The 26,415-nt window shown below is 36.7% G+C and overlaps 1 pseudogene; it reads right to left on the reverse strand.

The window, feature by feature from the left end:
* On the reverse strand, positions 505-838 carry RPL31P42 (ribosomal protein L31 pseudogene 42; annotated as a pseudogene).

Genomic DNA, 26,415 nt, shown 5'->3' on the forward strand with positions numbered 1-26,415 from the left:
GGTATATTGATTAGAAATGGCAAGATTAAGTGTCCTTTTGTTGTTCCTAATCTTAGAGGAAAAGCTTTGAGCTTTTTAACATTGATATGATGTTAGCTGTGGGCTTGTCATATGTGAGCTTTATAATGTTAAATTTCATTTCTTCTATACCCAGTTTGTTGAGAGGTTTCTATCATGAAAGGATACTGAATTTTGTCAAATGCTTTTTCTACATCTATGTCAATGATAATGTGGTTTTTATTCTTTAATCTGTTAAAGTGGTATATCGTATTTTTTTATTTTTTGAAACATCCTTGCATCCCAGAGATAAATCCCACTTGATCATGGTGTGTGATTCTTTTAGTAAAAGACAAAAGATTTATATTATCTGAAAAGAAACCAGATATCATAGTGTATGATTCTTTTAATGTGCTGGTAAATTTATTTTGCAACTATTTTATTGAGGGATTTTGCCTATATGTATTTTTTGTGGTTTTATAAATTTGACAATTAGAAGTTAGCTCTCGTCTACACTGACTGTAGATTTTTACAAGTGGTAACAGGTACATAGGTAACCAAACTATAGAGCTTGTTTGGTGAAACTTCATCTTCAGTATATTTTCTGGACTAACACACACTGACATGATATGGGAAATTTCTTATTCCTTCTTATTTCTTATTCAGTGCACACATCTCAGGTCTCTATCTCCTTCATGGCATATTTCTGGATCATTTTGTGCGCCCAAGGGCCACACTTTTTGAAGTGAACTCCATAGATGTACTTATAAATATTGGTTGTATTTTCTTGGGTAGGTACCTCAATAATGGCAGAATAGCTCTTCTTTGTCTTGCTACCTTTGTAGGACCCAAGTTGGAAAGAAAAGTATGAGGGATTGTTTCATCTATATTCATCAAGGCTATTTTACTATAATTATTTTTTCTTGTAGTGCTTTTTTCTGGGTTTGGCACTGTAAAATGCTGGCCTTGTAAAATGAGTTCCAAAGTGTTCTTCCTATTTAATTGTCTGGAAGAGTTTGAGAAGGATTGGCATTAATTTTTCTTTACATGGTTGGTGGAATTCACCAGTGAAGCCATCTGGTCCTGGGCTTTTGTTTGTGGGGAGGTTTTTGATTACTCTTTCAGTCTCTTAACTTTAGTCTGTACAGATTTTATATTTCTTCATAATTCAGTCTTGGTAGGTTGTATGTGTGTAGGAATTAATCTCTTTCCTCTAGATTATCTTTTTTTGGGCATATAGCTGTTCACAGTATGCTCTTATGGTACTTTGTATTTCTGTGGTATTGGTTGTAATGTCCCCTCTTTCATATCTGATGTTATTTATTTGTCTTTTTTCTTGGTCTATCTAAAGATGTTTTTTAGATCTTTTTGTCTTCTCACAAAACCAACTCTTAGTTTCATTGGTCTTTTCTATTTACTTCTAGTCTCCATTTCATTTATTTTTTTCTCTGAACTTTAGTATTTCTTCCTTCTGCTAACTTTGGATTAGCTTGTTCTTTTTCTAGTTCCTTGAGGTGTAAGATTAGGTTGTTTATTTGAGTTCTTTCTTCCTCTTTGTAAATGGTTATTGCTATAAACTTTCCTCTTAGAACTGCTTTTGCTGCATTTCATAAGTTTTGTTCTGCTGTGCTTCCATTTTTGTTTGAAGATTCTATTTTTGTTTCCCTTTTGATTTCTTTTTTGACTCATTGGTTGTTTAGAAGTGTGTGGTTTAATTTCCACATATTTGTAAATTTTCCAATTTTCTTCCTTTGACTGATTTCTAGTCCCATACCATTGTGTTTGGAAAACAAATTTCCAAGTTCTTAAATTTGGTAAGACTTGTTTTGTAGCCTAACACATGATCTATTCCAGAGAATGTCTGTGTGTGCTTCAAAAGAATGTGTATTCTGTTGCTATTGGATGGAGTGTTCTATATGTCTGTTAGGTCCATTTGGTCTATAGTGTTGTTAAAATCTGCTGTTTCATTATTCACTTTCTGTCTGGATGCTCTGCCTATCATTGAAAGTGGGGTATTGAAGTTCCCTATTATTGTTTTATTGCTCTCTATTCCTCCCTTCAAATATGTTAATATTGTTTCATATATTTAGTTGCTTCAACATTGGGTACATATGTATTTACAATTGTTATATCTTCTTAATCCATTGACTGTTTTTTACTATATAATGACCTTCTTTGTCTTCTGTAGCAGTTTTTGACTTAAGGTCTCTTTTGCTTGTTGTAAGCATAACTATTCCTGCTTTCATTTAGTTATCACTTGCATAGAATATCTTTGTTAATGAATTCTTTTCTATTTTATGTGTATCTTTAAAGCTAAAGCGAGCCTCTTGTAGGCAGCAAATCATCTGAGCTTGTATTTTTAATCCATTCAGCCACTGGCTTTTGATTGGAGAAATTAACATTTACAACTCAAGTAATTATTGATAGGTAAAGACTTATTACTGCTATGTTGTTAATTGTTTACTGTTTTACAGTTTTTGTTCTTTTTCTCCTCTCTTGCTGTCCTCCTTTGTGATTTGATGATTTTTTTTTATAATAGTATGCTTTCTCTTTATCTTTTGTGAATCTACTACAAGATTTTCCTTTTGGTTACCATGGGGCTTACATAAAACATCTTCTACTTATAACAGTCTATTTTAAGCTAACAACTTCAAATGCATACAAAAACTTTTGCTTTAACTTCTCCTCCCCCTACATTTTTTGTTATTGATGTCACTAATTACAGTTTTTACACTGTGTATCTATTAAGAAATTATTATATTTCTAGTTATTTTAATTCTTTTGTTCTTTAACTCTTATACTAGAGTTAAAAGTGATTTATGAACCACTATTACAACGTTGGCATTTTCTGAACTTTACTATACTTTAAATTTTACAGTGAGTTTTATAATTTTACAGTATTAGTTAGCATCTTTGTATTTCAACTTGAATAACTTTCTTTAACATTTTTGTAAGGCTAATCTAGTGATGGTAAACTCCCTCAGATTTTGTCCGGGAAAGTCCTTATCTCACCTTTATTTCTGAAGGGTAGCCTTTTCAGGTATAGTATTCTTAGTTCACAGTGTTTTTCTTTATCAATTTGAATATATCATTTCACTCTCTTTTGGCCTGCAAGATGTCTCCTAAGAAATCTACTGATAGTATTATTATGGCGAAGGTATACTTTTGTAACTAGTTTCTTTTCTCCTATTGCTCTCAAAATTCTCTGTTTTTGACTTTTGAGAATTTGATTATAATGTGTGTCAGTGGACATTTCTTTATGTTTAATCTGTTTGAGGTTTTTCAGGTTTCATGGATCTGGATGTGTCATTTCCCATTCCAGATTGGGATAGTTTGCTGTCATTACTTTAAATAATCTTTCTACCCCATCTCTTGTTCTCCATTTTCTGTTACTTCCATAGTGTGTGTATTGGTTCTGCTGATGATGCCCCATTAAGTTCTGTAGACATTCTTTAATCTTTTTCATTCTTTTTTCTTTTTGTTCCTCTGACTGGGTAATTTCAAAGGACCCAGTTTCAAGTTCACTGATTCTTTCTTCTGCTTGATCCAGTCTACTATGGAAGTTCATTTGTGTTCTTCAACTCCAGAATTTCGGTTTGGTTCTTTATTACGGTTTTATCTTTTTGTTGAACTTCTCAATTTCTTCATATAGTGTTTTCTTAGTGTTATTGAGTTGCCTATCCATGCACCCCTTTACCTCATGTGGACCCCCATTTTTTTAAGGTCGGTTACTGGTGCTTTATTTTATTCCATTTGTGGTGTCATGTTTCTTTAATTATTTCTGATCCTTGTGGTCTTGAATTGGTGGCTTTGCATTTGAGAAAGTAGCCACTTCCAGTCTTTGTAGATTGGCTCTTTATGCAAGGCCCTTCACCAGTCAGCCCATCCTGAGATTCTGGGCAAGCCTGTTCTTTGGGTCCACTGGTGGGTGTGTCTGGTACCTGAGTCCACAGGGGCCAGTCTGGTTTCTGAGTCTATGGAGGCAGGCCTGGAGCTAGGTCCACTGTGGGGGGAGCTTGTGCATGTATGAGTAGGCCTGATGCTTGGGGCTATGGAGGCCAGCCTGACACTAGGGCCTGGAGGCTGGGTTGATGCTATGGTCTGTAGTAATGTCAGGTGCTCCCTTGACTCTCCTTTCCCCATGTGGGAAGTATAAGCATACCTCATTGTATTGTATCTCACTTCATTGTGCTTCATAGATATTGTAGTTTTTACAGATTGAAGGTTTGAGGGAACCCTGCATCAGGCAAATCTATTGGCACTGTTTTTTCCAACGTCACATGCTTACTTTGTGTCTATCTGTCAGCATTTTTTAGCAATAAAGTATTTTTTTAAAATAGGGAATGTGCGTTGTTTTTTAGACATAAAGCTATTGCATACTTAATATACTACAGTATAATGTAAACATAACTTTTATATTAACTGGGAAACCTGAAAACTTGTGTGATTTATTTTATTGTGATATTTGTTTTATTGCAGTGGTCTGGAACTGAACTTGCAATTTCTCCAAGATATGTCGGTATCTCTCTCCATGCTGTGCTGCGTGGGCTTTGGGAGCGGTGATGTGGACCATTTGAAATTGTCCTTGCTACCTCTTTAATGCATATTTTTATATTTCTATGCTCCACCCAAGTGCTGTAGTCTCTCAACTGCCTTCTTTTTGTTCTTCAGCTTTTATGAAGCTATTTTCAAGTGTGAGTAGTTGTCCAAATTCATGTTTCTTGAGGGAACAAGTGACTTGTTTGTAAGTTGACTTGTATATCTTTTTATAGCTGAGATTTTATCCTGTGATCTTACTAACTCAGGAATTTTTTGGAGATTCTTTGCAGTTTTCTAAGTAGAATAACCATATTATATTTATTATTATTTTCCTTCTTACTTTGGTTTTAATTTGCTCTTTTTTTACATGTTTTCTGAGTTAGAAACTTAGGTTATTGATTTGATACCCTTATTCCTTTATAACATATGCATTTGATTGTGTAAGTTTTTCTCTAAGCACTGCTTTAGTGCATCCCACAAATTTTGATCTGTTGTATATTTTTTATTTACTTTAATATATCTTCTAATTTTCTTTTGACTTTATCTTTGACCAATGAAATATTCAGAAATGTGTAATTTCTAAATATTTGGGAGATTTTCTAAATATTTCTCTGTTACTGCTTTCTAGTTCAACTCCACTATGGTTAGAGAACACACTTTGAATGTTTTAAATCTGTTAAGATTTGTTTTATGACTTAAGACACAGTTGGTATTTGTGAATGTTTCATGTGCACTTGAAAACAATGTTTATTCTGCTTTCATTGGGTCAGGTGGTCTAAAAATGGCATTTAAGTTAATTTGGTTGATAGTGATTTTCAGGTATTATATATCCTTCCTGATTCCTGCCTAGTTGTTCTAATGATTACTGACAGAAGACTGTTGAAATCTCCAATTACACTATTATTTTTGTATTTCTACCTTTACCTCTATAATTTTTGCTTTAGTATTGTCACAATATTTTGTTGGGTGCATACCAATTTAGTATAGCTATGTATTTTTGGTAGATTGGCACTTTTAACCATTATACAATGTCCCTCTTGGTCCTTGGTAACTTTCCTTCATTGGAATTCTACTTTTTTTGATATTAATATGACAATTCTAGCATTCTTTTGGTTAGTATTTGCATGGTATGTCCTTTTCTATTATTTAGCTTTTAGCCAAGCTGAGTGTTTTTATTTAAAATGGGTTTCCTGCGACTAAAAATCATTCTAATCTTATTAGATTATCTAATAACCTAATTATCTCTCTATTGGCTGAACTTAGTCATGGGATAGAACCTACTTTCAGGGAAGGTTGCATAATACAGTCCTTTATCTGGCCATATTGCCTGCACACTTAAATGTAACCATGCACCTGTATATACACACATTCACATATATCTGTGTTTTGTTTCTAAAGAAAAGGTGAGAGTGGGTGTTTGTATAAGCATCTAGCTATTTCTGCTTTCATATGCTTTTGGTATTTGTAAACTGTCTTTACCTGTAAAATAAGGACATTTCTAACCATTATTTCACTTCTAGAATAATTAATTTATCTGATCATTTTATATAACATTTTAAGTGTCTTGTTAATTTTTTTGTTGAAGTTATTCAATATGTATTGAATATAAAAACACATCATTCCTAGTAAATTATAGGGAGATAATTTTGTCTTTGTTTAAAAAAATAAGCTTGCTTTCTCAAGGGGGGCTTAATATTTCAAATTTCATAGCAGCCATTTATTGTCAGCAACTTAAAGACTGTTTCTGTTTTAAGAATACATTTTTCTTCGAAATAAAGTCAGAAATTGGAGCATCAGCCATCTTACATATCTCCCCATGCAGTATAAATTAATTTCCAGACTTTCGGGGACAAACTTTCATCCTAGAAAACCGGAGTGTCAGCAGTGAGCTAGGGAGAGCAGTGGGCTGTTACATGACACCACTGTTCAAAGTGTCAGGTCACATGTAGCACTTTATGAGTTCCCCCTTTCCTGACTGAAACAAACTATTTTAATACATTTCTAAAAAACCAAAAAATACAAAATACTCTTTTAATACAACATGCATATATGTTTACTATGACTAAATATATTATGCCTCTTCCTGTCAAACAGCATCCAATGTGGTGAAATGAAAAACAATAAATCTGGGCTGGGTGTGGTGACTCATGCCTGTAATCCCAGCACTTTGGGAGGCTGAGGCGGGTGGATCACCTGAGGTTGGGAGTTTGAGACCAGCCTGACCAATGGGGAGAAACCCCGTCTCTACTAAAAATACAAAATTAGCTGGGCGTGGTGGCGCATGCCTGTAATCCCAGCTACTCGGGAGGTTGAGGCAGGAGAACTGCCTGAACCCGGGAGGTGGAGGTTGCAGGGAGCCAAGATGGCACCATTGCACTCCAGCCTGGGCAACAAGAGTGAAACCCCGTCTCAAAAAAATAAAAACAAAAATAAAAACAAAAACAGTAAATATTATATATCAGCATTTGTGATATTTATTCCTTCTGTTTAGTTATTTGCCTCTAGATTGAAGCATTCAAAACAGAAAATTATATTCAGAGTAAAAACTCTTAGCTGGATAATGGAACCTATCATTTTAAGTTTTTCCTATATTTCCTAAAAATACCTATATTAGGTATATTTTTTCCAATATTACTCCTTATCTTTACCTTAGTTCCCTTTCATTTTTGATTGTCATTGTGCTCTCAGCTACACCTGAAAATTTCTCTGATTTTTCCCAAGTTGGGAAATTAATCCACTTTAAATTCCATTAAAGTTTGAAACTCTTTTTCCATTGTCTTGTGGTTTTATTTGTACATTTTAATTTACTGTAATTTTAAAATGTCTCTTTCTAGTTTTGACAAATGTCATACTTTTCCTTGGAAAATTAACATCTACCAAAAAATTACTTCTTAAGCTACATTTATATATCATATATATATATAGTTCTTAATAGTAAATAAAGATATTTGGTTAATAACAGATTTACACATTTTCTAAAGCTGCTCTAAACAAATGTATAAATATGAACTAAGTATAGTGATTTAGATGGGGGGGAAGTTTACAAGAAGATGGCAAGAAATAGGCCAGGTGTGGTGGCTCACGCCTTTAATCCCAGCACTTTGGGAGCCCAAGGTGGGCGGATCAGGAAGTCAAGAGATGGAGATCATCCTGGCCAACATGGCAAAACCCCTTCTGTATTAAAAATACAAAAATTAGCTGGGAATGGTGGCGTGCACCTGTAGTCCCAGCTGCTTGGGAGGCTGAGGCAGGAGAATCACTTGAACCCAGGAGGTGGAGGTTGCAGTGAGCCGAGATCACTGCATTTCAGCCTGGTGACAGAGCGAGAATCCGTCTCAAAAAAAAAAAAAAAAAAAAGATGGCAAGAAATAAACCCAAAACGGTCATTTCCGAGACTCACAGGTTATTACCAAAATCTATATGTATAAATAAATTCTTGTTTCCATTTTAAATTATGCTATTTTATATATTTTCTTCATACATAGAGATAAAATGCACAAAATAAAGATATAGCATGTAAATCTGAAATAAATTTGCTGTTCTGAAGATGTAGAATGATTATTAAAGGTAAGTGAGATGCTTAAAATTTCATAACCTGGAATGAGAGATAAACAAAAAAAATAAGTGGTTGACAGAGGACTACTTACAGTTATGGCCTCAGCCTCTTAATATTATTTTCAGTTAATACAATTCAGACAGAAGCAGAAATTTTTAATTTAGACCACAGAAACAAATCAAATGGCATAAAACAAATGTCATACAAAATAATTATTGAATGTCATGGCAAGTAAAAATTTTATGAGGCTCTGAATTGACTCCGACTTAAATAAACACAGGAGGATATAGAAAAGGGAAGTCCAAGAGAAAGTGATCAGCACATAATTATTATAAAAGAAGGGCAGACTTTCAAATAATTGCCATGCCATGAAGTAATTTCCATTATTTCACAAACATTTAATTAATGTTTTCCCTAGCATGACGATAGGCCTATAATGACTGCCTCTTATACACTGTTATTTTGTTTGGGCTAGACAGTAATTATGAGAGGTAAAGTTTCACCCAACATGATAAAAGTTTATTCAGCTGAAATTAAATAAGGATGCTGTTAAAGACTTGCTTCTGGAAAATGCCAAAGCCGAGAATGTCTAGACAAATCTTGAAAGAACACGTAATTTTCTGTAATTTTACACATGTACAGCAGAGGGCACTAATATAATTATAGTAGTTAGTCCTTATGGGAGTAATTATCTGTGAATCTGGGATTCACCGGAAGTAGTAAACTAGAAAGTTTTTCTCATCTTTATCGATGAATAGTTTCCTCCTATCTAAATAGGGAAATTCTGTGCATGAAATTTACTTAATTTTTATAGCTGAAGGGCCATAATAATAGAGAGTTAATGTTGATTATTCCCTAAGAAATCAACAACACAATGAGTGATCTTTGAGCATCATAAACCAGCTTCCTCAGAAGGCCAATAACACTCTATCAACTTTTCTCCCTCTTCCTCTTGCTCTCACGTAGCTACACTCACCTAGCTACATTTTCTCCCAAAACACCATCCCAGAAATCTGAAAGTGGAAAAACTTTTGGCTATGTTAGCAGCTTTTTATGATACAGTTGAAGCACTGTTTGTAATGATCTCCACGAGGTGATGGAAACTTTGAGACAAGTGGAAAAGAAAAAGACCAACAATTTGCTGTTACAAAAGAATGAGAAAGCTAACCAAAATCATACTCAAAAATGTTGTTTCATCACAAAGTGGGAGAACAGATGGTCAAAACAGTTTCTCATTTTCCGGGTTAAATTAATAGAAAAATTGCTACACTATGCAAAGCATAGAGTGTGTATCATAGAGAAAATTATCCCTTGATATATTAATTTAAGTGTACTAGATGCATGGTAATACAGATGTGACCACAGCAAGTGCCTTGCTTTCCAGAGCTGAAAGTCTAGTGGTAGAGAGCAGACGTACTAACACATACTCACTTATAAATTAGGTAAAATGTGGTGAGTCCTGAGAGTGTGGGGAATAAAGTATGGCTCTGGGAACCTCTAGGAGCCAGAAAGGGCCTGCAGAAACAACGACATTTAAATTGGGCTTTAAAGAATGGGTAGGCATTTTATTAGCTAAAGAAGTGGTGAAAAAATCTACCAGGAAGGTAGAAATTGCTCGTGCCAAGGCTTAGAGGCATGAAAGGCTAATCCCAAAATAAACACATCTCTAGTTTTCAAGGGAACATCCAACTGGAAGCCACGATTGTATATTAGGTAGAAAGTAATTTTATTATGCTATTAAAGTAATTCACTGTGGATGCTTAAGAAATTTAAAAGGGGAGTTAGCTTTGAATTTTAACAGAAGACTTTGTTATTCCCAGAGTGTCTTTAATTGTATGTGGGTATATGGAAGTAGGGAGAGTATTTGTTTCAATGCTTGCTTTTTACTACAGCATTTTCCTATTTTGAGAAGCTGACAGGAGTCAGGAACTTGGCAGCTTGTTTCTGAAAGATTGTTGCTCTTGATTCTAGAAATTTCTGATTACTAGTGCTTAGCTGGTGTTATGGTACATCGACTCTGGGAAACATTTTATTTTATAACCAGAAATTGTAGAGGTAATATATATTATTTTTGTTTGTTTTTTATTCTGGTTACTGCATTACTGTTGAAAAATTAGTTATGGTCAGTTATACGGTCAGAAGCAAGTGTCCTAAGATGGTGAAAATGAGAACTATTTTGAGATCAAGAATTACTATGGAGCCAATTACACATATGATTATGGCCTGTGCATATTTAAGGGCCTATGAAAATATTTGAGACCTGAAAAATAATTTATTGGCCTTGAAATACTAAAAAGTGGCAAAATAAAAAGTAATATATATCTAATTAAGTGTTCATAAATACGACTAACCACTTAGCTTCATCTTAATCCTTTCCTAGCTATCTTAAACATTTTAATGTGCGATCTAATGCATTTTGTATGTTTGATGTGGTAAGGCCTCTAAAATTAAATGGTCTTCAAGCTCTTCATATTTATATATCTCTGCTCATTCTATTCATTGCATCCATATCATTTTACATTTCCATACTGTTCCAGGAATCCTAAATTACAAGTATCTACCCAATTGTTTCTAGGGAGACAGCAGGAGACCGCTCCTGTCACAGAAGCCACAGGCCCCAACACTTGGCCTTGATCCCATTTCATTTTTGTTAGTGGGGGCTGGTTAACAGTAACCCAGTTCCCTATGACACTGCTTAGCCCAGGAATCATGTCTGTTTCTGGGAGGTCAAAGAACCAAGAAATGTCAATGAATCATATTTCAGTTTACAGATAAATTTTAAGTTATTTCATAGGAGATATACATCAGTTGCCAACTTACATGTTACCTACAATATGTTTCTTTTAAATTTGCTTTCTAAAGCTTAGAATTCAATGAAACGTATTACATGTTTTTTGTAATCGAAACGTGTTACAAATCATTAGTAATTTTTTAGTTTGACCCACAAAATCTCATGGATACATAATATATCTGTATTAGGGTTCTCTAAAGGGACAGAACAAATAGGAGATCTATCTATCTATATCTATATCTATCTATAGATATATCTATGAATCTATAGATGTAGATATATCTATAAATAATAGCTATAGATATATAGATATATACAGATATGTAGATATATATCTATAAATAATAGATATCTATAATAGATATATATCTATAAATAATAGATATCTATAATAGATAGATATATATCTATAAATAACAGATATATAAATAACAGATATATATAATATATATATAATATATAATATATATAATATATATTATATATATATAATATATATATTATAATATATATAATATATATATAATATATATCTATAAATAATAGATATCTATAATAGATATATATCTATAAATAATAGATATCTATAATAGATAGATATATATCTATAAATAACAGATATATATAAATAACAGATATATATAATATATATATAATATATAATATATATAATATATATTATATATCTATAACTTATAGACATCTAGCTATTATGGATATCTATTATTTATAGATATATATCTATATATCTATATATGTCTATTATCTATGTATAGATAGATATCTGTCTATAAATATAGATATCTATCTATAATTATAGATAGATATCTATAAATAATTATATATCTATAATTTATAGATATATATCTAAAAATTATAGATATAGATATAGATAGATATAGATATATAAAGTGGAGTTTATTAAGTATTAACTCACATGATCACAAGGTCCCACACTAGGCTTCTGCAAGCTGAGCAGCAAGAAAAGCCAGTCTGGGTCTCAAAACTGAAGAACTTGGAGTTCGATATTCCAGGGCAGGAAGCATCCAGCAGAGGACAAAGATGAGACTGGGAAGCTAGGCCCATTTAGTCTTTTCACGTTTTTCTGCCTGCTTTATATTCTGGTCACGCTGGCAGCTGATTAGGTAGTGCCCACCCAGAGTAAGGGTGGGTCTGCCTTTCCCAGCCCACTGACTCAAATGCTAATCTCCTTTGGCAACACCCTCACAGACACACCGAGGATCAATATTTTGCATCCTTCAAACCAGTCAAGTTGACACTCAGTATTAACCTTCACAATACCTAATTTATTTTAACCACAATTTCAACATTGTTTAAAATATAGTTTCTCCCAAAATAATTAAAAGCAGAGGCTGAAACAGCTACTTAAACACCAATGTTCATAGCAGCATTATATGCAATAGGCAAAAGATGAAAACAACCCAAATGTCCATCAGCAGGTGAGTGGACAGAGAAAATGTAGTGTATAAGATAATGAAATGTTATTCAACCTTATAAAAGATTGAAATTCTGATGCATGCTACAATGTGGATGAACTTTGAAAATATTATGCCAAGTGAAATACATCATACATCAAAAGACAAATATTTCATAATTCTTCAAACATAAGGTACCTGGAATAGACAAATTCAAAGGGGCAGTAAGTATAAAACAGTAGGGGTTGGAGAAAGAGGGTAATGGAGAGTTAATGTTTAATGGATAGAGAGTTTCTATTTGGAATGATGAAAAAGTTCTGGAAATTGATCCTGGTGATGGCTACACAATATTGTGGATATATTTAATACTACTGAGTTGCACACTTAAAAACGGTTAAAATTGTGAATTTTATATTAGATATGTATCCTACCACAGTAAAAAAAAATAGTTCCCAAAAAATAAACTCTTTCTTGATTTCCATCTCCAAAAACCAGGAGCCTAGCTTCTCAAATATGGAACAGGGAAAGATGCTTCCAGCAATTGCAGTGATAGTAGGGTTTGGTATGAAAAAGAATTTTACATTTTTCTAATTCTGTGTGTTTAAAGAAAATGTAATAAGTTACACCAGAATTAGAGTTCATACTTTATAAGCTTGGCATCCAGAGCCATGCCCCATGCTAGCCCTTCAGTTTCCTTTCCCAGTACCCTCTGCTTCTCTCCCCAACATCACTAACACTGTAAGAAAGAGTGGTTGCTCCTACCTGATTAAGTGGGAAGGGCAGGAAAAATGGAGTAATGGGAAAGCAAGGCTATGGCCAGAACAACATGGGAGCTGTGATTTGAAAGAGTGAACTGCCCCTGCTTTTATTGTTTGTTTAGTGTGGGAAAGATGGAGGCAAAATCATGAATTAGAAGAATTTTAAGTAAAATTTATCTGACTGTGTGTGTTTGATACTATTGGTTTCCAACTGTAGCAGACACTTTAGGCTATCTTGCTAATATGGCCTGTCTTCCTCTTTCTTATTAAGAGAACACTAATTTTTGTTTGGGATCATAATGTGTTCACTTAAAAAAAACTTGCTTTTCCATCTCTCTTTCAATTAGGTGTGGCCCGATAATGTAGTTTGGTCAGTGAGATATAAGTGGAAATCTAGAGAATTTGGGGAAAGCTTTTGCTTTTATGATATGAGTACATGCCCTTCCTCTTCCCCTTTGTTTAGCCAGTCATGAAGGTGTAATCCTAACAGTTATAACAACTTTTTTTCATTAAGATGGAAGTCATTTGCTCAGTTCAGTGGAGTAGGAATTTAGAAGGAGCCAGCCGGTGTTCTTTGTGATGTTGAGTAGTGTGGATTCCCTAAATCTGGGCTTCTTGTAAGGTGAGAAAATAAACACCTATGTGTTTAAGCTACTAGTAAGTAGAAGTCGCATGCATCTATTGGGGAAGGGCAGAAATTCCAGATGGAAGGAACAGAATCCCAGAGATCAGAAGTAATGGCCATGTAGGGTAGAGGGTAGGGCTGTAAAGTAAGTGGTTTATTTTGGTTGCAGCATAGAGTATGGAAGAGAAAGTAGGTGTAAATAATATTAAAAAACAGTGTTGAGTCAGAAAGTAGTAGAAGGCCTGACATACTAGTTTAAATAATTGGATTTTGTTATGAAGGCAACAAGGAACCACAGAAGGTTTCTGTATTAGTCGTTCTTATGCTGCTGTGAAGAAATACCTGAGACTGGATAATTTATAAAGAAAAGAGGTTCAATTGACTCACAGTTCTGCATGGCTGGGAAGGCCTCAGGAAACTTACAATCATGGCACAAGGCACCTCTTCACGGGGTGGCAGGGGAGAGAATGAGTGCTAGCAGGGGAAATGCCAGATGCTTATAAAACCATCAAATCTCGTGAGAACTCACTCGCTATCACAAGAACAGCATGGGAGAAACTGCCCCCATGATTCAATTACCTCCCACCAGGTCCCTCCCACAACACGTGGGGATTATGGGAACTAAAATTCAAGATGAGATTTGGGTGGGGACACAGCCAACCTGGATCAGTCTCTGTTTTGCAGAGTGCCATGCTGAGAGCTGTGCTTAGTTAAGCAAGGATTGGCTGTAGTAGTTCAGTTGGGTGAGAACAAGACTATTTTAGTAATCTAGGTTAGAATGAATGAAGGTCTGAACTGGGGCAGAGGTAGTAGGAATAGATGGGAAGTGTGAGTAGTGGGCAAAATATTTAAGGCAAAGTGGACAGATACTGATATGTGGAGTGAATGGAGGGAGTCTTCCTACTTCTGACTTTCATATTTTGATAATTGAATAGAAAATATACAGGTTGGCTTGGCATCCTGATTTCTTTCTTTTAGAATAAAATGAGAAAAAGATATTATAGTTGAAGATTTCTTTCTAAAGACCGAAACCCTGATATATGGCCTTTTTTTTTTTTTTTTTTTTTTTTTTTTTTTTTTTTTGAGACGGAGTCTCGCTGTGTTTGTGTTGCCCAGCCTGGAGTGCAGTGGCGCGATCTCAGCTCACTGCAAGCTCCGCCTCCCGGGTTCTGCCTCCTGAGTAGCTGGGACTACAGGCGCCCACCACTACGCCTGGCTAATTTTTTGTACTTTTAGTAGAGACAGGGTTTCACAGTGTTAGCCAGGATGGTCTTGATCTCCTGACCTCGTGATCCGCCCGCCTCAGCCTCCCAGAGTGCTGGGATTACAGGCGTGAGCCACCGTGCCCAGCCGATATATGGCCTTTATTTGTCTTCCTCCTGATTTCAAAATTACCTTGGTCAAGATTTTAATGAAACAAATCCTTTGGAACATAGACTACAAGAGGTTAGAGATGTTTTCTTCACTGCTGTTTCTGCAGCACCTAGAAGAGTGCCTGGCACATAGTAGGCCTTAAAAAAGTGTTTGTTGAATAAATTAATGAATGGATTATTCATTATCTTTGGAAATTTCTTAGAAATGCAGTTGTTTTTTATTTAATGATATTAGTGATTTTTAGGTCAGAAAAGGACTCAAAGGATTGCCTGACCTAGTCTGTTCATTTTAAACAAAAGGAACTGGATTCACAGGGAATTATGGTATACAGATGTCGTAGTTTTGCTTGTGTATATGTGTTATATTTCTAGGGACCAGTAAACCAAAAAGAGAAAATAATCAATACCTATGTGCCCATTCTGTTTAGGACCATCTTCGAATTAATAAGTACATATTTCTTAGCTTCTGTATTTCTAATACTGTTGAAAATGTGATAGGACATTTTAAAAGGAGACTGAGACCTGATCCTCATCTTCAAAGAAATTACAGTTTAGTTAAGGAGGTAAGATTAAGGCATATGAAATATCTATAATGCAATCAAGAACTATAATTGGGTAGGAATGGGTAGGTGAGTTCAGGAAAGGGAGCGATTAATGTGTCTTACAGACTGTTCTGTGAAAATTTTAAAAATATATTTATATAAGAACATAGAATGATGACATTTATCAAATAACAAGCTAGCACGATAGCTAGCTTAATAATGCTTAATAAGAATTTAATTATAGCTAATATTTATTGAGCATCTGCTATGAAACAGGGAAACAATAAAACAGTATTTACTGACTTTGTTGCTTTTGATCCATAATGCCCCATTAAGCTTGTTTTAATCCTTATTTTTAGGTTAGGTAATGTTCAAAATGTTAAATAATAGATAAGTCATGAGTCCATGCTTCAAATTCAGATTTAGGCTCTTACCTACTACTACATCACACTGCCTCGATAGCTTTAAAAAGGATAAATGTAACCTTCTACATTTATATATTTAGTATGAAGCACCTCATCCTTTTGGAGTACAAATATGGTCACTTATCCTTATGATAATCAAAGTAAATATTCAAGACCCCATCAGCACAATTAACAAGATGCTCATTCTCTGTTTTGAAGCTTCCCCCTTCTGTTGTCTAGAGTCTAATTCTGACTAAAGAGGCTCATTATGATTCCAACAGCAAGAGGAGAAGAGGTCTGGAGATGTTCCTATTTTGAAAGTTCTAATTTCCAACTGTCATTGCTTCCATGGCAGCTTTGTCTATGGCTGAGAACTGACCCTGCACAGTTGGATGCAACTTTCTTGTCTGAAGTAGTAATGGCACCCTTACTGGTACAGAACCCTACACAGATCACATCCATTCTCTTTAGGGGGAGATTATCCCACACTCTCCAGCTGCATGCTGGACCAAGTACAGTTACCCTCGAACTTCCAAGTTTACAGCTCTTTGGTTTACATTCAACTGCTCAGTCATTGTCCTCAAACAGATATGGGGAAAGTTAATTGACAAACAAGTAAGCAACTTAACAAACAACAACATAGAGAACGTAATAGGTGCTAAAAAGGAAAGAAAAGGGTGATGTGACGGAGACTATCTGGGCAGGTACTACTTTCATTAAGTCAGTTAAGGGGGGCCCTCTGAAGAGGTAGAATGTGAGCTGAAATCTATAAGATGAGAAGGAATCAACTATTCAGAAAGTCTACGGTGTGAATGGAAAATACAAAACACCAGAGGTACAAAGTTGCTTGGTATGTTCGGTGACAAGAGTCAACTTGAATTTCCAGTGTAAGTCATGCACTATGATCAAAACTGGCCCTCACTCTACAAGCTCTTTCAGTCAAGTACTCTATCTGGGCTACTAACCCAGACTTTCCCTTCTCTCATGGGCCCATTTCTACCCCTCGGCCTCAGTCAGGACCATCTCAGTTCACTAGATCTAAAACAATGTTTAGACCAAGTGCGGTGGCTCACATCTGTCCCAGCACTTTGAGAGGCCAAGGCAGAAGGATTGCTTGAATCCAGGAGTTCAAGAGCAGCCTGAGTAACATGTCGAGACCTCATCTCTATAAAAAATCCAAGAGTTAGCCAGGTGTGGTGGCACGTGCCTGTGGTTCCAGCTACTCAGGAGGCTGAGATGGGAGGATTGCTTGAGCCTGGGAGGTTGTGGCTTCAGTAAGCCGTGATCGCACCACACCTCTGCACTCCAGCCTGGGTGACAGAGTGAGACCCTGTCTCAACAACAACAACAACAACAAATAAAACAATGTTAAGTCTCCAAGAAGAAGAGGACTTGATGCCTTTCCTTAAAAACACTATGGGTCTCATGCATATTTATCTAACTGCTATATACCTGTGAGTTCTACACACCTTACCACACATATGCTGATGACTTCCAAATGTATATTTTGAGATCAGAATCTCTTCCAAGAAGTTCATGTTTGTGTGTTATTTTGCCTACTCAACATCCGTAATTAGAAGTCTCTTAACAGTTCAAATTCGGTATATCTCACAGGGAACTTTTTTTTTTTTTTTTTTTTTTGAGACAGGGTCTTGCTGTATAACCCAGGCTGGAGTGCAGTGGCTCAATCTCAGCTCACTGCAGTCTCCACCTCCTGGGTTCAAGTGATTCTTTTGCCTCAGCCTCCTGAGTAACTGGGACTACAGGCACATGCCACCACACCCAGCTAGTTTTAGTATTTTTAGTACAGACGGGGTTTCACCATGCTGGCCAGGCTGGTCTTGAACTCCTGACCTTAGGTGATCTGCCAGTGCTGGCCTCCCAAGGTGCTGGGATTACAGGCGTGAGCCACCGTGCCTGGCCTCAAAGGGAACTATTGATTCCCTGCTTCTAATCCTGTTTATCCAATAGTCTTCACCATCTCAATTTATGGTACCTTCAACTATTCAGATTCCCAAACCAAACTCTGGCAGTCAGAGCAGATACTTCCTTTGCCCTCTTCTTTCACACCCAATCCATCAATAAGTCCCATCAGCTTAACCTTTGTAATCCATCCTGAATACCATCAATCTCTCTTTTCCCTCTGCAAACACCCTGGTCCAAGCCATCATTACCTCTTGCTTGGACTGGTCTTCCTGCTTCTGTTCTCCTTCCCTTAACCCCAGAATCCATTCTCTCCACAGCAGAGTGGTTTTTCATTAATGTAGTGAAATAATATCTCTCCTCTGCTTAAAATCTTTCACTCATTTCCGATTAGTCTTAGAATAAAGTCCAAACTCATTCCTTCATCTTACACCACATTTCCTTTCACTTTTTCTGGTTCTAGCCATACTTACCTTTGTTCTGTTTTTAGAACATACCAAGCAACTTTGTACCTCTGGTGTTTTGTATTTTCCATCCACACCCTAGACTTTCTGAATAGTTGGTTCCTTGTCATCTTTCAGATTTCAGCTCACATTCTACCTCTTCAGAGGGCTCCCCCTTAATTGACTTAATGAAAGTAGTACCTGCCCAGATAGTCTCCGTCACATCACCCTTTTCTTTCCTTTTTAGCACTTATTACATTTTCTATGTTGTTGTTTGTTAAGTTGCTTACTTGTTTGTCAATTAACTTTCCCCACATGAGTTCATGAAGGTAGGAACTGGTTGGCCTTGGCTTTTCTGTAACTCCAATGTTAAGCTCCTAGCACATATTAGGTATGCCACACATAATTTTATTAACTACTGACTAAGTAAATAATTGTGTGACATCTTTTGTGCATCCCAGAAGCACAAAAGCATAGGATATTTTTTGACAGCTTAACTCAGTGATTCTCAATTCTGCGTGCATGTTAGACTTATCTGGGGAACTCTTTTTTTTTTTTTTTTTTGAGATGAAGTCTCGCTCTGTCACCCACGCTGGAGTGCAGTGGTGCAATCTCGGTTCACTGCAAGCTCCGCCTCCCAGGTTCACACCATTCTCCTGCCTCAGCCTCCCGAGTAGCTGGGACTACAGACGCCGGCCACCATGCCTGGCTAATTTTTTTGCATTTTTAGTAGAGATGGGGTTTCACCATGTTAGCCAGGATGGTCTCGAGCTCCCGACCTTGTGATCCACCTGCCTTGGCCTCCCAAAGTGCTGGGATTACAGGTGTGAGCCACCGCGCCTGGCCTCATCTGGGGAACTCTTAAAAATAAAATAACAATGCTGGGTCCCATACCACATCCATTGAAACATAATCTCTGGAGATGGGACCCAGGTAACATTCTTTTAAAAGCTCCTTTGTGTGATTCTTATCTACAACCATCACAAGGGAACCAGGGGTAACCATCATTCCTTTTTCTTTAAACCCCAGGTCAGCTTCTTTATCTTATTTAAGTCTTTCAGCATGATTTATATTGGGGATTTTCTTGTGGATCACAAAACTTGTTCCCTTGCCACGTGGGTATTTTATCCACTTGGGGATCAGCTTCTTTGAGATTGCAGGATAATAGGCATTTCCTGGGAAATGGCGTGTAAGAATGTGTTATCCCTCACAATCTATAAAGCGCTGCAGTGTTCAGATTTCACTCAACCTTTTGATTTATGTTCATACCTTCAATGTCCTTGTTGTCTGATAGTCTCCCAGATATCTCCATGGTGTGCTTCCCAGTCAGTTGAGGTGCTTGCTTAGATATTCTTTATTAGAAATGCTTTTCTTGACTAGTCTACCTAAAATGGCACCTTACCACTGTTATTACTCACTGTTCTTCCTTGCTTTTTAAAATATATAACATCACTAATTAACAATATATTTATCTGTTTATGATATGTTTTCTCCTAGTAGAGTATAAGCTCTGCCAAAGCAAGAATTGTGACTGTTTTGTTCATTGCTGTATTCCTAGAAGTGTTCAATAAATACTTGTTAAAAGAGTTAAGGAATGAGTAAAGAACATTGTTCTGGCAAGGGGTCCCCAAATTGACTGCATTTATCCTTTTCTGCCTTTTTCTCTTCCCAAGGAATTTGCTGTAGAAGTTTGCTACATCAGAAAACATTGTTTGGGAAAAAGAAATTTTGGTGGCATCAGGTACCTTTTTTTTTTTTTTTTTTTTTTTTTGAGACGGAGTCTCGCTCTGTCGCCCAGGCTGGAGTACCGTGGTGCGATCTCGGCTCGCTGCAAGCTCCGCCTCCCGGGTTCACACCAGTCGCCTGCCTCAGCCTCCCGAGTAGCTGGGACTTCAGGCGCCCACCCCCACGCCCGGCTAATATTTTGTATTTTTAGTAGAGATGGGGTTTCACCGTGTTAGCCAGGATGGTCTCCATCTCCTGACCTCGTGATCCGCCCGCCTTGGCCTTCCAAAGTGCTGGGATTACAGGTGTGAGCCACCGCGCCTGGCCACCAGGAACCGGTGTTTCTTAACAGTTTCATTTCCCACCAACAGTAGTTAGCATACTGCTACTATGTGATCAATTTATCTCAAATATTAATTTTGATATCTGATACTCCACAAAAACATTCTCTGTTCATAGCAAAGCACTGTCTACTAAAGTGAGATATTAGTAACTACCATGAGGAATGTCCATTAATTGCTGAAGGCAAGAATTTCTGTGGCTTATAGAAAGCTAGCTGGTAGACATTTATCAAGTGATTCCTGTGTTAGGGCACTGTGATAGGTATCATCAGTGATACAGAAAAAAAAAAGCATTTTCTTCCATGTAGGATCTTATAATCTCTAAATATATACAAATATAGAGCTACCAATCACATGTAAATGAAATGTGAGAAGAATTATACAATTATAAAAGAGATGCAAAATATAAAATTAATGCAAAAGACATTGAGTACCTATTATCTTGGAATATATAATATTTAGGATAATCAGAATTACCTAGTGTAGTCTAGACCTTCTGGAAACTGGGTTTAATGAAGAATATGAAGATGATAAAGAAAGTACATAGACACATTCCCTTTGGTGCTTGTAGAGGGGTTTCTGTTTAAAAGCCTAACTCTTTGCCTAACTCTTGCCTGAATTCTTTTCCCTCTACTTTGTAGTGTGTGATTCACTTTTTCTATTTTGTGGGCTTGTTGTAAATTAATGTCCAACCAGCTTCCATGAGAACAACATAAGAGTTGTTACTTTGAATCATTTATTGTCTATAATAGGATGCAATTTGGGCCGCATCCCAATTGTTGCTTATTAGACTACCTTGGCCTCTTGAGCTAGATATATCATGTTTGCCCCTCTAGATTGTTTCCTGATGTTTCCCACCCTGCTCCACGTCCTGGTGGGCTGACCTGTAAGAACTGGTTGGGTTCAGCAAGTGGAGTACAGGAGGAGGTGGGTATGAGGGAAGAAGTTGGAGCATTTGTTTCCCTGGGTCCGAATTTCCAGAGTCTGTGCCTCTCACCAGGCAGCTGTCTGTACCCAGCCCTTCTGTCTCCTGGTACCATTAGCTGCTCTTTCTCTCATCCCTTCAAGCCTAGGGTGCTAACATTTCCTATCCTTTAAGAAGTCTCAGGGTGGCCGGCCGCTGTGGCTCACGCCTGTAATCCCAGCACTTTGGGAGGCAAAGGTGGGCGGATCACGAGGTCAGGAGATGGAAACCACAGTGATACCCCGTCTCTACTAAAAATACAAAAAAAAATTAGCCGGGGGCGGTGGTGGGTGTCTGTAGTCCCAGCTACTCGGGAGGCTGAGGCAGGAGAATGGCGTGAACCCGGGAGGTGGAGGTTGCAATGAGCCGAGATCAAGCCACTGCACTCCAGCCTGGGCGACAGAGGGAGACTCCGTCTCAGAAAAAAAAAAAAAAAAAGAAGCCTCAGGCTATGGTGTGTTTCTCTCAGTCCTACTCTTACCTTTGTAATTAGTCCTTGTTTCAACTGTTCCTTGAAGTACTCAATGAGTTGCCATTAACTTCGTGTTGTACTCTGATTGATCACCTCACCAAGCAGAAAGGGAATTGACCCTCTGATGGTAAGATGACATGTATGTTCTCATCCTTGAGACTGGAATCAGTGCCTCTGTGTGGGTTACTTAAACACATTCAGTAGAAGTGGGATTCTGCCATTCAATATTGCTGCCATCTCCTTGGCCATTTGATAAAGTTTATCTCCTATTGCTAACGTGGAAGATGAGGATAAAAGTCAACTACCGGTAGGGACTAAGAAAATCAGAAAGTTTGGATTTGGCTGCTGCTATTGAAAGTCTGCTATGTGTCATAAGTGGGTATGTGACACGTCAGGATGATGTTGGGTTGGGAAAAAGTGCTCTTTCTCTGGTTATAGAAGCCCCTTTACTAAGGCAAAGAAGTGGTGGTGACTGAAGAGATGGCATTCTGGATCTTCAACAGGGAAAATGCTTGTGTATGTGTGTGTAAGTGTGCGAGACCACTGTAATGTGGAATAAGTAAGAATCTTCAAGACAGAAATGTCAAACCAGGTCATTGGCAGTGGAAAAAGAAGGCCTTCATGTTTAGGAAAAAATCAGGGGAGAAAAAGGGCTGGAAGAACTGGAGTACTTTTGTAATACTGCTTTGAGGATAAACAATATTCTATTAAAATACCTAGGACCATGGGTGTATAATCCCATCTATTAGGGAGGAGGAAATTTAAATATAAATGAGAAGGCTGAAAACGTAGGGTGTTGCCTCACTGTGGTCGTGTGTTGAAATGAAGAGCTGAAACTATGCAACCCTGTGTTTTGTGGAACCAACTGAACTTCTCAGGGAAACGCACTATATTCCAAACTTTTCTGAACTAAATAAACTGATACAAGTTACTCAAACCTAAGGCTTACAGGTTACTTCCCCTGTGCCCCCACCGAACAACCCACACACTTAGAGTTGGGGTTCAGTGGAGATAATTTTTGCTTATAATTAGAAAAAACAACAGATGTTTGAACAGTTTTGCACTGTTTGACAACCTTTGGAGATGAAAATGGAAAATGAAATTCTTTCATAGCTCTGTTGGGTCATAATTTTTGAAAAGGAACTGATGATATCTCCTTGTATACCTATAATTGTGACCTAGAGCATTCTCAGGACTGATCAGGGGATCAATAGTTGCCAGGAATTGCTCAATCAAAATTGCGGTAATTGAAAGCACAAAACAATCCTCTTTATTTACCTCTACTAACTTCTGGATTGAGATTTGTCCACACTAGGCTGTCATGATGCATCTACTACTGACTCAAGCATCACATCGGCACATTCTAGCTTATGGATTTTTCTTTTGATGCTGAAGCAAGTGATTCTTGATTTAAATCTCTAGGACATGGCAAAGACTAAAAACTGAGATAAATTCCTAAAATGATATGAAAAGAAATCTAAGATGTTTGAGGTCTTACCAATACCTAATAGTGTTTTAAAACTTAATTAAATTATGCTGACCAAATAAAGATTACACAAAACTGGTAAAGCAGAAATACATGGGTTTTAAAATTCTTCATTCTTTCTGGAAACAAAGAAACATAAAGGCTGAGAAACGGCTAATACATTTTTTCTCTTTTAAAACAGAAGTTAAAAATAAATTTTAAAAATTAAAGTAAAAGAGGCAATTTAAGTACCATATTAATTGGCACATTTCTTCCATTATTTCCCAAGATTTCGACTATACAGTGATGATATTGAGAGAATTATGTGTTTCTCTATTCTAATATACTTAATCCTCAGCAGACTTCATTATGTATTTCTTCAGAACAGACACTATCACTTTTAAATATTAGGACAAAGAGTTGAACAGGAAAAACACCTTGATTGTTTTGCACATTTTTATTCACATAGCAGTGCAGATATTTAACTTATCCTTCTGAGTCATAAGTGTTTGTATTTAACATTTCATCCGTTTCTGTCATTTCAGCAAATAACTAATACAAGAAAGAACTCCTTATGCATACTTCTAGAAATGTGCACGTTTCTTTTCTTAAAAATTGTCTGCCAGTAAAGAACTTTTATAACTCTACAACAAAAAGACAAATAACCCAATTAAAAAATAGCAAAGAACTTGAATAAATAGATATTTCTCCAAAGAAGAGAAACAAATGTCCAAAAAATACATGAAAATATGCTCATTGTCATTAGTCATGGGGAAAAATACAAATGAAAACCACAAGGAGACAGCACTTTACACCCACTAGACTGGCCATAAAAAACAAACAACAACGCATGCTCTCACTCATAGGTGGGAATTGAACAATGAGAACACTTGGACACAGGGTGGGGAACATTACACACTGGGGCCTGTCATCGGGTGGGGGGAGGAGGGAGGGATAGCATTAGGAGATATACCTAATGTAAATATGAGTTAACGGGTGCAGCACACCAACATGGCACATTTATACCTATGTAACAAACCTGCACGTTGTGCACATGTACCCTAGAACTTAAAGTATAATTTAAAAAAAGCAAATGACACAAAACTAAAACAAAAAATAAGTGTTGGTGAGGATGATGAGAAATTAGAATGCTAATACATTGCTTATGGGAAGGTAAAATGACACAACCACTGTGGAAAAGAGTTTGGTGATTCCTCAGTAAATTAAACATATGACCTAGACATTCTACTCATAGGTATATAAACAAAAAATTGAACATAAATGTTCAGACAAAAACCTGTACGTGAATGTTTATAGCAGCTCTGTTCACAATAGGCAAAAGGCAGAAAGAACCCAAAGGTCCATTAACAGATGAATGGATAAACAAAATGGAGGATATCCATACAATGGTATATTTTCAGCTATAAAAAAGAATGAAGTACTAATACATGCCATAACATAGATGAACCTTGAAAACATTATGCTAATAAAAGAAAACAGACACAAAAGGCCACATATTATATGGTTCCATTGATATGAAATATCCCAAACAGGCAAAACCGTAGAGACATAAAGGGAATTAATGGTTGCTTGGGGCTCGGGGGCAGTGAGAATGTGGAGAGACTAATGTGGGTATGTGGTTTCCGCCTCCGGTGATGAAAATATTCTGGAACCAGATAGTGGTGGTGGTTGCCTAACATGGTGAATGTAGTTAATGCTGCTGAATTGTTTTTTATTTGTAGCCATTTTATTTATTTATTTATTTTTTGAGACAGTCTTGCTTTATCACCCAGGCTGGAGTGCAGTGGTATGATCTTGGCTGTTTGCAACCTCTGCCTCCCGTGTTCCAATGATTCTCCTGCCGTGGCCTCTCTAGTAGCTGGGATTACGGGAATGCACCACCACTCCCAGCTAATTTTTGTATTTTTAGCAGAGACGGGGTTTCACTATGTTGTCCAGGCTGGTCTCGAACTCCTGGTCTCAAGTGATCCACCAGCCTCGGCCTCCCAAAGTGCTGGGATTGCAGTCGTGAGCTACCACGCCTGGCCTATTTGTAGCCATTTAAAATGCCTACGATGGTAAATTTTATGTTGTGTATTTTGTGTATTTTGCTCCAATAAAGACAAAATTTAAAAAAATGCCTAGTCAAAGAGTCAGGATATTATCCTTTTGGGAGGTCACATATACATATTTATACCACTGCTTTTCAAAAGGATCTTTTTATGATCAGGTGAAATGATGTCCTTTTGAGTGAATGACATACAGCAATTAAAAATGTGCATTAATACTGATTTGGGGCCAAACACGTAACTTATGTGGTTAGACTTCCCAGTCTTAAGTCTAGTGAAATCTCACAGACTATCAAGACCAAATGTTGTATTTCAAGTCACAGGTGTGGAGACAGGGTAGCGATCAAAGTACAGGTTTTCAGAGTTAAGTGGAATTCAGTGAATTCAAAGCCTAGCTTTTCTGATACCAGACATGGCACTTCAGAGAAGTTACAGTAACCTTGCAAGTCTGTTTCCTCACTAGTAAAAATGGAGATATATAATAATCTAATTGAAGGTGACATATGTATTAAGTGAGTTCATATATGAAAAGTGCTTAGCACTGGACTCAGCATATGGTAAATGTTCAGTAGGTTAGCTAGTTCTAAGACAGGCTTATAAACATACTTTTTCTAATGTACTCTTTAATAAGTTTTTGTGAGGAATTCACCTTCAGTTTGAAAGAAGTCCACTTATCTTGGTTGCCTTGGCAGGATTCTAATTGGGAGGGTGTCTTTTGGCATCCTGACTAGATTCTCATGCAGAGATGGTGATATTTTGGTTAAATGAAGTTAACAGTAAAGTGGTCATCTCTCTACTTCTGCTCTCAACCCCCATCTCAGCTTTCCCCAAGTATTCTGGAACCCTTTCTGAAGAAGAGGGCAGTTCTAACTTTCAGGGATGTTCTGGTGCCAGCTCAATATGCATCTCATTAATCTTATCAATAGTAACAAAGTATTTGAAGGGCAAAGAAAGATACGATTACTACCTATTTGAAGTTTATAAAGAAAGCC

The sequence above is a fragment of the Homo sapiens genome, chromosome 9 (genome assembly GCF_000001405.40).
Source record: "Homo sapiens chromosome 9, GRCh38.p14 Primary Assembly".
Taxonomy (NCBI): domain Eukaryota; kingdom Metazoa; phylum Chordata; class Mammalia; order Primates; family Hominidae; genus Homo; species Homo sapiens.